Source organism: Homo sapiens, chromosome 22 (genome assembly GCF_000001405.40).
Source record: "Homo sapiens chromosome 22, GRCh38.p14 Primary Assembly".
Lineage (NCBI taxonomy): Eukaryota > Metazoa > Chordata > Mammalia > Primates > Hominidae > Homo > Homo sapiens.
The window spans coordinates 42,204,155-42,220,333 of NC_000022.11; the positions used below are offsets into that span (position 1 = coordinate 42,204,155).

Consider the following 16,179-nt stretch of genomic DNA (forward strand, 5'->3'; position numbering starts at 1 on the left):
GGGGGAAGTAAATAATTATCCATTATTTAAACTTGTATTAAAAATAAGCCCCTAAACTGGCCAGGTGCAGTGGCTCACACCTATAATCCCAGTACTTTGGGAGGCCGAGGAGGGTGGATTCCTTAAGGTCAGGAGTTCAAGGCCAGCTTGGCCAACATCCTCAAATCCCGTCTCTACTAAAAATACAAAAATTAGCTGGGTGTGGTGGCACGCACCTGTAATTCCAGCTACTGGGGAGGCTGAGACAGGAGAATCACTTGAATACAGGAGGCGGAGGTTGCCGTGAGCCGAGATCATGCCACTGCACTCCAGCCTGGACAACAGAGTGAGACCCTGTCTCAAAAAATCAAGGAAAAAAAACCCTAAATATAATCTTTAATATATTGATTCAGAAATTTAAAGAAAATTGGCCAGGCACAGTGGCTCAGGCCTGTAATCCCAGCACTTTGGGTGGCTGAGGCAGGTGGATCACTTGAGATCAGGAGTTTGAGATCAGCCTGGCCAACATGGTGAAACCCTGTCTCTATTAAAAATACAAAAATTAGCCAGGTGTGGTGGTGCATGACTGCAGTCCCAGTTACTTGGGAGGCTGAGGCAGGAGAGTCACTTGAACCCACGAGGAGGTGGTTGCAGTGAGCCAAGATTGTGCCACTGCACTCCAGCCTGGCAACAGAGCAAGACTCATCTCAAAATAAAAATAAAAATAGAAAATAAAAATTAACCTAAAACCAGTTAACATATACTGTCAGGTAAAAAAAAAAGATTAAAAGTTTCCCAAGGGGGGTTGGAAAAATTTGGGAGGGGCACCTTCTATGAGAGGGGAACAAGCAAAGACTCCCCGACTCCCCCACTAGTAGGGCTATCCAGCCTCAAGGGATCCATGGCCACCAGATCTACCTTCTGTCACATCCCTGCACGCCTTGGCATTCCTTAATGTCTCAAAGGTGATTTGTACATACCAAGTTATATCCATACCCATTCAGAGGCAATTACCTCTGTAATATCATTCATGTCAGAGGTCATTGTGATTCTCATACACAATTATACCAAGGCAAACAGTGGTCAATGTTGGACAGAAGCAAAGGGGACTTGTGCTGAAATGAATAGATTCACAAGTCCCACACTTGTGGGAAGGGAAAAAGGAAGGGAAAAAGGAAGGGAAGTAAACACCATTTTTAAATATAGAAATGTTCTAGTTTTCGGCAATTTTCAGAGTAGTGTGACACAGGGAGAGGAGCAATGTCTCTTGAGGACTTCCCAATATTTTAATATAACATCGTGCTTGTCAAAACACCTGATAAATACATAGGCCAAAATGGATCTCTAATGAAATATATGTGACTTTATCTTACATGATAGGATTAAGGGCATGCTCATTAAGCAAGACCAAAACTGAATGCATCTATCTGCTAAAACCTAGTAAGATAAAACTAGACTCAAAGTATCCTGGACAATTGAAACATCATCTGTCAAATTAAATAAAAGGCAAGTTAGTGTAATTTTAATTTGTCCTTGAGTGCACTGAGAAAAGTAGAATAAAAGCTAGGTAAATAAAAGCTAGAAACGGATCTTATAGTGATAGTGGTACATCAGCTCAAAGAGACAACAAGCCTAACTTTTTTCTTATTTTTTTTAGAGATTGAATCCCACTCAGTCGCCCAGGCTAGAGTGCAGTGGCACCATCTTGGCTCACTGCAACCTCCGTCTCCTAGGCTCAAGCCATTCTCCTGCCTCAGCCTCCCGAGTAGCTGGGATTACAGGTGCCTGTCACCATGTCCAGCTAATTTTTGCATATTTTTAGTAGACACGGGGTTTGACCATGTTGGCCAGGCTGGTCTTGAACTCCTGACCTCAGGCGATCTGCCCACCTCGGCCTCCCAAAGTGCTGGGACTACAGGCGTGAGCCATCATGCTCGGCCCAAGACCTGAATTGAGACACAGGATCTAGAGATTTGCTGGGGAAGATTTAGCCTGATTACTGATTATCAATTATTGCTATAGAACACCTAAAAGTTTACACAAAAAAACTGGGCTGAGATATGTTAATAATAAATGTTGAAATAACGAAAACACTGTCAGATGGTCACATACACATATGCACATCAAAAAGCAATAAACAGGCTGGGCGCAGTGACCCACACCTGTAATCCCAACACTCTAGGAGGTCAAGGCAGATGGATGATCTGAGGTCAGGAGTTCCAGACCAGCCTGGCCAACATGGTGAAACCCCACAACAAAGTGAGATTCTGTCTCAAAAAACAAACAACAAAAAACCCACCAAATACTGTGACTTTCCAAGGAAAGTTGGGAAGCAAGAACTCAACTTTGACAAGAGGATGATTAACGGATTATTTTGAGCGCTCAAATTTGACTAAAGAATTTTGTACTTGAGGGTCTTAAATGTTACATCCTCCTAGGATCTTTGCATTTTAAAATGTCATTGTGTATAAACTTCTTAGGGGAAGTGAATCTTCTACCTCAAACTTGGAGTTTCACCGTGATGTTAATAATGGAGACAGGGAAGGAGGCACAAAGAAAAGACCGTAATTGGGAGATAGGGGACATGATAAGAGTAAAGGGCAAGCTCCTTGCATGACTGAATTAAAATGTTCTAATTTCAAATATATATTTCACATTCAATATAATTTTTACTATAGTCTATGGGCACTTCTTTTTGCCAGAAGGTTATAAATAATATGGTAGACTACTAAACATACAGTTGTACATCCATCTGATCCCTTCCCACGAAAAAGTGGATAAACTTGCAAGATAAACTCATGACACCATGAGCAATGGGAAGCTGGAAACATGAGAGATGAAGTGAGTGACAGTGATTCTGTGCACTGCAAGGAAGCAGACAGTAATGATGAGTGCAGTGGAGGAGCCCCCAGAAAGCCAGCCACTTTAGGGCACAGAGCTTGGGGAGGCCTCAGTAAGTGGGGGTGCAACATGGGGCTGAAAAATAGAGCATTAGCCCAAAGTTTCTAAGAGGAGTTAGATCCTTAACCCAGTTCAACCAGGTAACTGTTCTCATCCACTGAAAACAGGCGGGAGATTGTCAAAGTCCGCGCACTGAATCATGAGCCCATATCCCCACCCACACAACCCTACCATCCTCTTCTCCACTTGGCTTTTAGGACGCTGGCAGCCAAGCTTGCATCTCTAGACAGGAAATCTCAAGATTTTTCTCTGGAACAAAAAAAAAAATGTTTTTTTTTCCTCTGGGAAAACTCAACTCAGAAAAAAGACCCATATGCTGGCTGGCTGCCTTATTATTCTACGGAGAGGACTACAGGCTAGCAAGCCTGGCCCATACTGTAACAGAGAGCTTCAAGTCATTTTTTAAAACATCTCTTTCTCTCTTAAAAATATAAATCAAGGCTGGGTGCAGTGGCTCAAGCCTGTAATCCCAGCACTTTGGGAGGCCGAGGTGGGCGGATCACCTGAGGTCAGGAGCTCGAGACCAGACTGACCAACGTGGAGAAACCTCATGTCTTCTAAAAATACAAAATTAGCTGTGCATGGTGGCGCATGCCTCTAATCCCAGCTACTCAGGAGGCTGAGGCAAGAGAATCGCTTGAACCTGGGAAGCGGAGGTTGCGGTGAGCTGAGATTGCGCCATTGCACTCCAGCCTGGGCAACAAGAGCGAAACCCCATCTCAATAAAGAAAAAAAAATCAAGACATCTGAAGAACCTCTAACAAGAAAGAGAAAATAGGAAACAGACAAAGATTTTTAAAAATTATAGTACAGGCCAAGTGTAGTGGCTCACGCCTGTAATTCCAGCACTTTGGAAGGCTGACGTGGGAGGATTGCTTAAGCTCAGGTGGTGAGACCAGCCTGCCTGGGCAACAAAGTGAGATGCTGTCTCTACAAAAAGTAAAAAACTTAGCCAGGTGTACTGGCATGCACCTGTGGTCCAGCTACTTGGGAGGATCCCTTGAGCCCAGTGGTTGGAGGCTGCAGTGAGCCATCATCACATCACTGCACTCCAGCCTGGGTAAGGGCATGAAACTGAAACAAAAACAAAAACAAAAAATACGTTATAATGTATTCAAAAAGCAAGAGAAACGATTATAGCCATCAACTAGGCTCTGATTATTCTTTAAAAGTCAGTACATTCAGAGAAAAAAAAAGCTCTTCAAAATATCAAGAAAAAAAATAAGTAAATAAAAGGCTAGAAGGCTGGGCACTGTGGCTTGTGGCACATGCCTATAATCCTGGTACTTTAGAAGACCGAAGTGGAAGGATTGCTTGAGTCCAGCAGTTTGAGACCACTCTGGGCAACACAGTGAGACCTTGTTTCTGCAAAAAATATAAATATTAGCTGGGCATGGTGGCACACACCTTTAGTCCCAGGTACCAGGGAGCCCCAGAGTTCGAGAATGCAGTAAGCTGTGATCGCACCACTGCATTCCAGCCTGAGTGACAACAAAACAAAACAAAACAAAACAAAACCAAAACAAAACCCACATACAAAAAAGATTAGATGATAAAGCTGAAGAAAGCATAGAGAAATCAGAACAAAAAGATAATGAGATAAAACATAAAACAGAGGAGAAAAGATAAAAACAGCGGATCAATCCAGGAGGTAAAATGCCTTATATTAACAGGAATTATAAAGAGAGCAGAGAAAATAGAGGGAAGGAAATTTTCAAAGAACTACCACATGACAAATTGCCTGAACTGAAAGACATCAGCGTACATAAGATCTCATAGAGTAGCCAACACAACCATGAAATGACCTAGTCAAGACCTATCATTTTGACATCTCAAGACCCTAGGGAAAAGGAGAAGATCCTCAAACTTTCCAGAAGAAAAACAGAACATGCATCAAGGGATGAAAAATTAGAATGGCAGTCTTCTCAACTGCAGCACTGGAAGCTAGTGGACAAACCAGGAAGAACGACTGCAAGACAGTGAGAGAAAAATCACTTCCAATCTAGAATTCCACACCTAGCCAACTCTCAATTAAGCATGAGGCTAGGATAAAGTCATGCTCAGATATATAGGATCTCAACATTTTTACACTCCCACACACCCTTTCTCACAAAACTACTAAAGGATGATGCACGCCCTTAAATGAAGGCTCACTTTAAGAATGAGGAAGAAATGGGATTCAGGAAACAGAACATTCAATAGAGGAGAGAAAGAAATGAAGATGATGATGTTGATGATCTGCCCCAGGATAAGTTATGAAACAGATCCAAAGAATAAATATCCTAACTGGAAAGTGTGCGTTAGAAAAGATGTGGCCCAAGAAACTTGAAATATAATAATATGCTTCATAAGCATTATACATTTCAAAAAATGAAAAACGATTTTAGAAGTCTATACAAATCTTCCAAATTACCTATTTCATTTTCTGTCCATCACATGGGCATAGGCACTTTAATTTGGAGGAATAATCATGTGACATGTAAGAACAAAAACATGCAAGAAAAGGAACCAAATGAAATAAAAATCCCAAGCTGGTAAGAGATTTCTCATACTCACCATCTCTCTGGCTATTTCCAGCGCTTCCTGCAGGCCATAGAGCCTGCCACAAACCAGGTAGATTCCATTGGCCCAGAGAATACAACCCTCATGGACCCAAAATTCATTGCTGTCAAGAGGTAGTTCAGGGATTTGTAACTCCAGCTCAGGGCCACCTTCTGAAGTGGTGGGCACGGAGGGCTTCGAGTCCAAAACAGTCTTTTCACTGCTGCCCTCAGTGGCTGCTTTTTTACAAGGGAGCCCCCTGGACAGGGACCGAGGGCCTCCACCACAGTCTTCCGAGCGGTGGCGCCGCTTAAACCTGGGGTGTGCGGCCAGGCTTCTCTGCTCCTTCTGCTGCTGCTGCTGCTCTTCCTCCTCCTCAGTGTCCGTCTTGGAGCCATTAGAAGCACTTTTGTGCCGTACCTTAACTTTGCTCTGCATTTCTGTGGCCCTCTTAGGAGGTGGATTCTTCGGGAGAGTGGCTGCATAATCTTGGGGATAAAAAGGTCCAAAGAGGTCACCCATGTTCCGGTAACTGGCCCACTTGCCACACAGACAGCAAACCAGGTGCCCCATAACCGAAGACTCTGTCACAACAGGTCCCTGCAGCATAAAGGACGAGGCCGGGAGCGCCTTGCTTTCAGTGCTGCTAGGTGGAGGGGTCAGTGACCTCTGACCCTTCCTGCCCCTCACTAATTTGGTCTGTTCTTCTTCCTCAGCATTGATGATTGTACAAACGGCTCCAAGTTCACACTTATTTACTACATGGATGTAAGGGTAAAAAGACTTGTTCTTGGCATCAGTTTTATCCAGTGGCTGGGTGGCATATTTTAGTTTGATCTCAGGTTCTTGGGGTTCCACAATGGGAACTGCTTGTTTGGTTTTTCGCTTCCTCGGCTGGGCCCCAGGCTTCCTTCTCTCCCTCCTTTGCCTCTGTTTTTTTGGCTTTGGCTCTCCATCTGCAGAACCTTCTGGTATCTGTGGGGGCTGAGGGGGTGGAGGCGGTGGCTGCTGCTGTTTCTTTTGCTTATTCACACTACCAATGGGTCTCCCCTTCTTCTTTCCTGATGGGAAATATCCCTTTGGAGGGAAACCCTCTTGCTTCGGTGAAATCGTCACTGTATCGTTCTCCTTCTCTTCAGCCTTGGGGTTTGCCTCAGGGGCCAATATGCCCACTGGAGGTACATTCTTTGAGTCTGGAAAGATTAAAGGTGCTGTTCCACCCAGGGAACCATCTGGTCTCCCTTGGTTACTACCAGGCTTCTGTGAGGTTGTGGATGTCATGGCACCAGGGGGTTCCTTTCCGGCAGTAACTGTTTCTGCATGTGTCTCTGTCTTCACTTTGTCATCCACGCTGCCACGCCACTCTTCTGAAGACCTTGGAAGAGGTTTCTCTACGTGCAACTCCTGGTTTGCTGGACTGACTAGGTCCGAAGCCACCTCACCTTTTCTCTTCTCTATGTCAGCATCCTGAACAGCAACACTCCCACCTTCAGGAGGACCACTCTTCAAAGACAGTATATCATCAAGCGTAACCGTGTCTCCCCCAGCCTCCGCACTGTTCGAAGATGCGCTCCTCCTAATATTTGGGGATGTAATCTTCTGAACTATAGCTTCCAATTTCAATCCCCGTCCTTTCCGTGGGGGCAGTATTTTGGTCTTAGCAGGGCTTGTGAGGGTAACAGCAGGGCAGTTTCTACTATCTGGACTTGGAAGGTCCTTGGAGGAATCTCTCTTAGGGATAGACTTGATATCCTGACTGTGAGAAAGATGGGCATAGGAATTGAATGCTTTATCAGCGCCTTCTTTTGATGAGTGAAGGAGGCGACCTTTATCTTCAGTGCTACTGTTCTTTACATCTTGTGACTGTCTCTTACTGGGAATGGGAGAGATAAAAGAACGAACACGCCTCCTCATGATTAAGGGGTTTTGAGAAGAATGATCCTCCTGGCCTGGAAGTCTCAGCATAACACTACCAGGTTTGGATGACTGTGTAGCCTCAGCTAGTCCATGTCCATCAGTCTCATGGGGCGGCCCATACCTTTTTTGACTGGACATTCCTGGAGGACCGCTGCTTTTGGCTGGAGAAGTTTGCCGAGAAAGATCCCAACAGGATTCTTGTAACTTCTGGGAGCCATGCTTTAATTCCATGCCCTTGTTAGGCAGACCATCACTAGACATTAGGCAGCGCCCAGCCTCCTGGGCACTGGGGTCATGGTAAGTCCCCACTGGTGGGCCATACATCATACCATCTTTGTCATTTTTCAGAGGGCTCCGTACTCTGTCAAGAAACTGCTGCTGCCTTGGACTCTTCCGTGGCCCCTCCTGCCTGTGCTGTGCTGCAGCAATTACTCCCTGAGCAGAACCGCTGCTCCAGTCTTTATACTCCTCTGGTTGCTGTTGGTACATCTGTCTCTTATAATGCAGCTGAGAATTCAAACCTGCGTTAGGGTCCCCATAAGCATGAGCCCGAGTATTTGCATGATAAGCAGAGGCCAGGGTTTCTGAGTTGGGAGAAAAGGGAGTGTGTAAAGAACTCCGGTTAGCCCTCTCTGAAAAGGTCATGTGTGGATTCATGTGATGAGGGTCTCCCCCTGGGCCTCTGCTCCGCCCAGGAGACATTTTCAATTTTTCTGCAAAGTCATGATATTGAGAAGGGGACCGACCCCTCATGCCCTCCCGACCACCAACTCTGCCAGGGACCCGCCGCATTGGCGTGGGTCTGCTGTCTTGCGGGCCATAGTCTGAAAGGGAATCATGGGTTGCTGCTCCAGGGCTGGCATTGCCGCGGTAAGACTCATGCTTGATGCTAGGAGGATGGCAGTGGTCTCCAGATTTCTTGTTGTTGAAACTAGCTTGAGATTTAGACTGTTCAAAGTCTTCCTCTTTTATCTGCCCGCTCTGGGATTTCAGCTTGGTTTCCATGGACACCAAACCACCAGGAAGAATGACCGACTGACTTAAAGTTGGATTGAGACGGTCATTCCTCCCAATTCTGGTGTCGGCACTCATGTGTCCCAGTGAGTGAGCCCCTGGGTCCCTGACAATCTGTCTTAGTGGAGAAATATCACAGATCACTGATCTTCTTTCAGAGAGGGAACCCCCAGGCTCATGTGCTGATGACTGAGGCTCTATTTCAAACTTTCTGGGAATTGGATAGTCAGTCAAATTGATCTGTTTCATTTCAGGAGCTGTGCTGCTTGATTTCCTTTCCCAGGGGCCCCAGTGGGGATTTTCTAATAGAGACCCAATGCTTTTGTTCAGAAGGCCCCTGCTAGCTAATTCATTGGTTTGACTAACCAAGACATTGGGCCTTGTGGTTCCTTCTAGGCTACCAGCCATCCCCTGATGCTCTTGAGTACTCCTAGAATATCTCCTGTCAGGGTGGTGGTGGTAACCCTGAAGCACTTCCTGCAGGAGGCTTGGGAATTTTTCATTTCTACCCTTTCGTTCCCCATGGCCAGTGAAATCTCCCTTTTCTTGCCCTGTAGGATACTGAGGAAAGCCACTGACATTTCGTGGCACGGCTGACCCGAAACTATCTTTGTAACTATAGCGCAGACTTCCAGGAGATTTGCTAGGCTCAGTTCTGCTCGTAAAACCAGGGCCCGCTGCAGAGTGGCCACTCTGGCCATTTCCTTCTCCATTATGGTTGGAGTTGTTATCGCCATTCTTGTTTCCTTTGCTCCCTCCTCCTCCTGGAGGCTCTGGCTGGGGAAGTGATGCATGACTGGTTTCCTTTGCCCCACCATTGCTAGGTGGCCTTTGAGTGGCTGCAGGATCATCCTCTTGGGAGCCTTTATCTTGTCCACCAGGCTTTTCTACCCGACCTGTCATGGCTTCCCGGGAGACAATCACCCCAACAGTCTTCTCATTAACCTTTGGGTTCCCGTCGGATGACAATGGCATGTCCTTAGCGCCTGGTGAGGTGGCCTCTTCTCTTGCGGCAGGACTAGCATTGAGTCTGGGGGGTTCATTCTGAGCACCTTGTGCCGGTGAGGAGCCAGCTTTCTCAGAGGCTCCACCCTTGTAGGTGGTGTCAGAGCTGGTGCTCTGGCCACTTAGTTGCCGCACTCTCTCGCCTTGATCCTCTGAACTGCTGGAGCAGCCTCCATCTAATGACTCTGCCATAGGGGACTTCAGCTGTTCTTCAGGTTGTGAGGAGCCTTCAGAATTTGTGCAGCTATCTGCTTTCTTGGAAGATGAGGGCCTCTTGGAGGTCTTCTTCTGAGGAGTCAGGGCATCAGAAAGTAACATGTGCTGGACAGTGTTAGGAAGATTGGCCACTTGAGTACTCAGAGCACTCAAACTACTCAACCCAGGATCTGTCAGTCGCTTTTCTGGTACCCCTTCTAGTCCAAACCCTTTGAAGCCTGCAGCATGAGAATTAGGACTGGGCATCATTGATGGGGTTGGACTGAGTTGAGGCATTAACTGTAAAATTCTGTTTCTGGAACCCATAGGCACACTGCCTTGCCCACACTGGAGATTCTCCCCAGTCTGCATGAGAGGAGATGGGGTAGAACTACAGCTTGGAGACTGAACCACAGAGGCAGCTGGAGAAGGGTTAGAAATGGGGCTGAAGTTCTGGTGAAACTGCATGGGGGACCTCACAGGAACCTCAGGCTGGTTGTACTGCCCCACTTGGCTTTGCAGGGGCAGCTTGGTGGCAGCGTTAGTATACTGCATCACATGCTGAGAAGGGTGTTGTTGTTGCTGCGGTTGCTGCTGCTGCTGCCCCTGTTGGGTCCCTTGTGGAATCTTTGCCTGTTCAAAATTCTTCATAGATTGAGGCTGATAGCTGTAATTGGATTGTGTTCCATAAGCCTGTGCATTAGAACCCACATTGTGTCCTTCATACTGAGATCCAGCATTCACATTGTAACTGCCATCATAGCTCTGTCCAGACTGGCTAAAACGCTGTGGTGAAGGGAAGGAGGAGGAGGAGGAGGAGGAAGCAGAAGACTGATAGTGTTGGCCAAACTGACCCACTCTTAACTGGTAACCAGCAGCAGAGGATGGCAGAGTTGAGGGCCGCTGCATTGGCTGTAGATGGGATGAGCTGGATGCTGGTTGGCCAGTGGCCTGTGGCAGGGGCTGATGGGACTGGTAAAGCTGTTGTCTCAACTGCTGGACTTGCTGCTGCTGCTGCTGGCTGGAAGCCTGCTGTTGGTACTGAGCACTCCCTGGAGAGAAAGGCCCAGTGTAATCCTGCTGATAATGTGACACACCGCCAAGGCCAGAGTGCTGTGCTTGAAACTGGCCCACATGACCCTCACTCCCATACTGATTGCCAAAGCTGCTCCCCTGGGGGGGTCCATAGCTCTGCACAGGCCCAGAAGGCCTTCGCTGAGGAGGCTGTGGGGTTCCTGTAGTCACGGGGTCTTTGTTGCCTGCCATGTAGTAAAAATCTCCAGCCTCTTTCCTGAAACCCTGGTAACCTTGATGGCCAGAGGTCTCGCTAGCCATCGCTGCCGCAGCAGCTGCTGCTCCTCGTCGTCCACCACCACTGCCACTGCCACTGCTGCCACTACTGCCACCTGTACCTCCAAAATTCTGGAACATCTGGGCCTGACGAGGGCTGAACTCTTCTAGCCGGGATGAGCCGTGTACCTCCTGTGGGTAGCTTTGCTGGTTTCCGTGGTAACTGCTTTGCTCCCGAAAGGACTGCATACTGTTCAGCAGCACAGCAGCAGGCCAACAGCCCTCCTAGAAATAGAAGAAAGAAAAACATTAGACACGCATCTCCTTGGTACAAATAAAATCAAGTCTAGATGATGGAGGGAATAAAGATGAATCAGAGGCCCAGATGAAGCTGACTGGTTTGAATTTCTATTTTTTTTTTTTGGTTTTTTGAGACAAGAGTCTCACTCTGTCACCCAGGCTGGAGTGCAATTGCACGATCTCAGCTCAATGCAACTTCTGCCTGCAGGGTTCAAGCAATTCTCTTGCCTCAGCCTCCCGAGTAGCTGGGACTACAGGCGCATGGCCACCAGGCTCGGCTAATTTTTTGTATTTTTAGTAGAGACAGGGTTTCACTGTGCTGGCCAGGCTGGTCTCGAACTCCTGACCTCGTGATCCGCCCACCTCGGCCTCCCAAAGTGCTGGAATTACAGGCATGAGCCACCACGCCTGACCTTGAATTTCATCTTTTATATTTTATCCTATCCACTTCTGAAAATGCACATATGCAGAGAAATGGCCTAAAGAGTGAGGCAAGAATCTGTAGTAGAATGAAAAGCAGCACTCTGAGTGCATACAAACCCAATACAGCAAAAACATGTATGTCTCATATATCTAATAATGCCTTATTAGACAAATGAGCCCCCAAACTCAACCAGATTAAAATATGGGGCTGTGTTATTACTGTCAATGAAAAACAGCAATTTTTCAATAAGCCTCCCAGTTATGCGGGGGAGGGGGTGTGGGGTAAGAAAAACCAAATCCTTTTTTTTTTTTTTTTTTTTTTTTTTTTGAGACAAGGTCTCACTCTTGCCCAGGCTGGAGTGTGCAGGGGCACAGTCGTAGTTCACTGCAGCATCAAACACCTGGCTTCAAATGATCCTCCTGCCTCGGCCTCTCAAAGTTTTGGGACTACAGGCATAAGCCACTACTTTCATTTCTCTGCTTTCATGTATTAGGGTGATCACTGAACTGCGGGTTTTAACACTGGCTGCTGATCGCCACTCCCCAACACTGAGAAACAGACCTGGCCAGAGAACTGCAGCCAATTCCTTATGTCCAAGTGCAAATTTTTGCAGCTTTACTATAATTGCCAACTACCTGTGATGACTGGTGACTCCAGGACACTCAGCCCATATGGGTTCCACACAAACTTTGGAGTCAACCTCTTCTTGGCATATGACTGTGTCTACAGCACCCCTCTCTCCACCACTCTCCTTCAATTCCCAGGTACAAAGGGCTAGACTTAAGCCAGTGAATAGCAGTGACTATTCTTCCAGATTATTTTGGGAGGTTTCCAAGAAGTTCCAGCACCTTTACCCGCCATGTGGTATTTGTATTTGCCAGTTTTTTAAATTCACAGTTATTACTGGCCATTACTATGAAAGAATTAGAAGCAATCATCTTGGAGGACAGCAAAAAACAGAGAGGAAAATAGGAATTCATCAAGCCTAGGACCCAGACTCTTTCAAAGTTATCTGACTGAGCCACCACTTTGTATTACCTATTATAATCCCTCTTAATCAATCAAGCTGATTTTTTCCCCTTTCACCTGGGCCTGTCTCCTCAGAGTCAGAGATGAAAGGGACAAGGCCAAATTGCTCCAAGTGACTTTAGAACCAATTACTTAAAAAAACAAGTTCCAAAATACATATAGGGTAAAGTGAGGTGTAATAGACAGTTTAGTTTAGTTACAATGGTTTATGAAGCTAGTTTCCTAGTTCCCCTGAAGGGGAGCTGAAAATGGAGTTGCCTGCAGGAAAGTCAACAACCTTTTTAAAGGTAAGTCAGATTTATCCTCTCCAATCCCTGGAGTGGCTCCCACCTCATTCTTTGGGAAACTGGTCTCAAAGGCCCCTGCTCCCACCCCCTTGACCTCTCTGAGCTCCTCCCCTATCACTCTCTGCTCTAGCCCCACAGTTGCCTTGTTCCTGGAACAGGCCTACCACATATCTACATAGGAACTCTGTTCTCACCTGCACGTTCTTCTCCCAGAGCCAGATAGCTTGCTCTCCTTCCAGTCTTTGGGCAAGTGTCACTCATTCCCTGGTCATTCTAGTAAAAACAGCCAGCTCCACACCTTTTCCCTGGCTGTAACTCCCTCCCCTGTTTTATCCCCTGCCTGGCCCCATACTTACTCCAAACAGACACATATATGCTACTTGTTTACTGTCTGTCTCTCCTCTGACTAAAATGTAAACTCCTTAAAGGGCAGAAACTGACTGTTCCTTGCTGTAATCCTCACGTCATCACACCGGAGTCTGTGTGAATGATTAAATGGTGTAAGAACTAGGCCTTAGAGAACTAGGCTAGAACTCACATATTCAGAGATGGTGCTGTGGGAGTGACATGAGAGAATTATAGAAAGTGAAAATAGAATATGATCAACCTAAAAGCAGAGCTGGAGGATGCTGAAGACCTTGCCTGTAAAATCCCATGAGTCCGGTTCTAAGGGAAAGACCCAGCTTGAGTCCACATGAGAACTGAGGAAAGACTTCAGAAAGTAAATATTGATTAGAGCAGAAGATGGCCAGTAACCCCAAATTCTAAAAGCTTGACCCATATCTTGAAATATCGTAAGTCTAAAACAGCTAGACAAGGGTCTACTTCCTTAAGCTTGATTATATAGTCATGTGACCCAAAACAATCGCTAAACATTCATGTGCAAATAATGTCAGAATCTAAAGGAAACTTCTCATCCTATTCAAAATGCCTCTGTTGCTTTGTTCCAGTGAATCTGCAGGGCAGTAGGTAATAGCTATTCAAATGGTGATGATGCTGCTTGACACTGTTCCAGCACTTCACATACACTAACTCATTTAATCCTCACAACACTAGCACGCTCCTTTTACAGATGAGGAAACAGAAGCAGAGTTCACAAAGCTCCTAGGCAGCAGGGCTGGGGGCAGGACATGTTTTTAACATTACATTGCCCAGAGGGTCTTCCACATGGTCAGTAAAAAATACCAGTTGTCCTGTCAGTTTGGCCTTGAAAGTGGGTAGCCACCCACAATAAATCTGTCCCTTCACTGCCACCCTCTTATAAGGACCTCCATACTGTTCCAGCTGGCTCTTCACCCGCTCCCCATCATTCTTAGAACTATCAAGAGCAATTCTGTCTACATGAGTATTAATTTTTTCCCCTTGTGATGTGCTCCTGCTCTACTCCTCAGTGCCAGTGGCCTTCTCTAGATAAAACAAGGCTGAATGGGGGCTAAATTGAACAAAAACATTAAAGCTAGCAGTTTAAACTAATGAAAAGCCTTCTCAAGAGATATTCTCTATAAAAAGCTATGTTACATGTTGTTTAATTAATCCTTCTGGAAATAAAATCAGGCTTCTGAAGATCTGAGTGTATAAACAATGTTGCCACTTGCTCCATATTCTTCCTAAATAGGAGCCACCAAGAGCTAAAGGCCACTTTAAACATCAGGGTATCAGGCCTGAGGCTGCCCTATCTCCAGACAGGGAAAACAGATACAGGAAGGACTCCTTCTTAGGTCTGTTCTCAGCCTTCCCCTGCAGATTCCCTGTCCTGTATGATACCCCTTTCCCTATTGTTATGGTTCTACTTTATGAAAAAGAAAAAAAAAAAATCCAAGGCCAAATACCTCCTGCAGGGTTCCAGTCATGCTAAATATTCTTAGTATACATGAAGCACCTGAGTAGGAGAAGGTGGTTGCCCAGGTTTATCTTTTTTAGGAATGCCAAGTAAACCAATTAAGAAAACCAACTAGCATATACCAACGACAGAAAATGTAAACCTGGAGCTATAAAATAAGTAATAGGCTGGGTGTGGTGGCTCACACCTGTAATCCCAGTGTTTTGGGAGGCTGAGGTGTGAGGATCGCTTGAGGTCAGGAGTTCAAGACCAGCCTGGGTTAAAAAAAATTTTAAATGCACAGTGTCATGAGGTGTGCCTACAGTCCCAGCTGCTCAAGAGGCTGAGGTAGGACGATTGCTTGAACTCAGGAGTTCGAGGCTGCAACGAGCTATGAATGTGCCAATGTGCTCCACCCTGGGTGACAGTAACCCTGTCTCAAAAAAAAAAAAAAAAAAAAAAAAAAGCTAATAGAGATAATTCCAATTTTATCCCATCATCTTAAAAAAAGCATCAGTGTAGTCAGTTTTAAAGCACTGTGATTAGTAATAATAAGTGCCTGAATTCCTTTGTTTAAATGAATACAAATAGTAAGGAAAATCTGATACCTCAAAGGAATAAGTCACCTAAGGAACTTGCATACACACTCTAAAAAAGAGGCTGGGCACAGTGGCTCACCCCTGTAATCCCTGAACTTTGGGAGGTCAAGGCGGGCAGATCACTTGGGCTCAGGAGTTCGAGACCAGCCTGGGCAACATGGCGAAACCCTATCTTTATAAAAAATACAAAAATTAGCCAGGCATGGTGATGCGTGCCTGTAGTCCCAGCACCTCGGGGGGCTGAGGCAGGAGGATCGCCTGAGCCTCGGAGGCAGAGGTTGCAGTGAGCAGAGATCGCGCCACTGCCCTCCAGCCTGGGCAACAAAGCGAGATTCCGTCTCAATAAATAAATAAAAAAGAGGCCTACCGATGTACTTCCCATCCATAATGACTCTCCCTTTCCTGTTTTTCTCCTATATTCCTAACTTTCTGAACAGTTTCAGAAGGGCTGTGGAGGTGTATTAGTGAGGTCCAGAACTCTGTGCCTAAACATTCCAGAGTCCATGTGCCGACCTCACAAACTCACTCATAACCAGCTGCAGACTTGTTCTCCCCATCCTATTAGAGGGCTGATGACCTTGCCCTCTTATAGAAAACCAACATTGGCTTTCTCTGTCCTTCTTCCTCCATATGTCCAACAACATCCCACTTCCCAATCCATTCTCTTTTTTGGAAAGAGAGTCTCACTCTGTTGCCCAGGCTGGAGTGCAGTGGCATGACCACAGGCTCACTGCGGCCTCAACTCCCAGCTCAGGCAATCCTCCTGCCTCAGCCTCCCAAGTAGCTGGGACCACAGGCATGGGACCCCTGGCTAATTTT

The 16,179-nt window shown here is 46.1% G+C and overlaps 1 protein-coding gene across 10 annotated transcripts in view, besides 2 other annotated features; it reads right to left on the reverse strand.

The window, feature by feature from the left end:
- The window catches only part of TCF20 (transcription factor 20), a 183,525-nt gene that overhangs the window by 44,142 nt on the left and 123,204 nt on the right, over positions 1-16,179 (reverse strand). For all 10 annotated transcript variants that reach the window (XM_047441476.1, XM_047441474.1, NM_005650.4 and 7 more), the window contains one exon: positions 5,497-11,187. In XM_047441476.1, coding sequence (XP_047297432.1) covers positions 5,497-11,151 — 5,655 coding nt within the window. In that variant the 5' untranslated portion in view covers positions 11,152-11,187. The remainder of the gene's footprint in view (positions 1-5,496; positions 11,188-16,179) is intronic.
- Positions 10,829-11,328: an enhancer, noted in NCBI's record as "H3K4me1 hESC enhancer chr22:42610989-42611488 (GRCh37/hg19 assembly coordinates)". NCBI's record gives its function as "activates a minimal SCP1, AML or CMV promoter by ChIP-STARR-seq in primed H9 embryonic stem cells {active_cell/tissue: H9 hESC(primed)}" and the evidence as "EXISTENCE:reporter gene assay evidence [ECO:0000049][PMID:30033119]".
- Positions 13,599-14,187: an enhancer, noted in NCBI's record as "OCT4-NANOG hESC enhancer chr22:42613759-42614347 (GRCh37/hg19 assembly coordinates)". NCBI's record gives its function as "activates a minimal SCP1, AML or CMV promoter by ChIP-STARR-seq in primed H9 embryonic stem cells {active_cell/tissue: H9 hESC(primed)}" and the evidence as "EXISTENCE:reporter gene assay evidence [ECO:0000049][PMID:30033119]".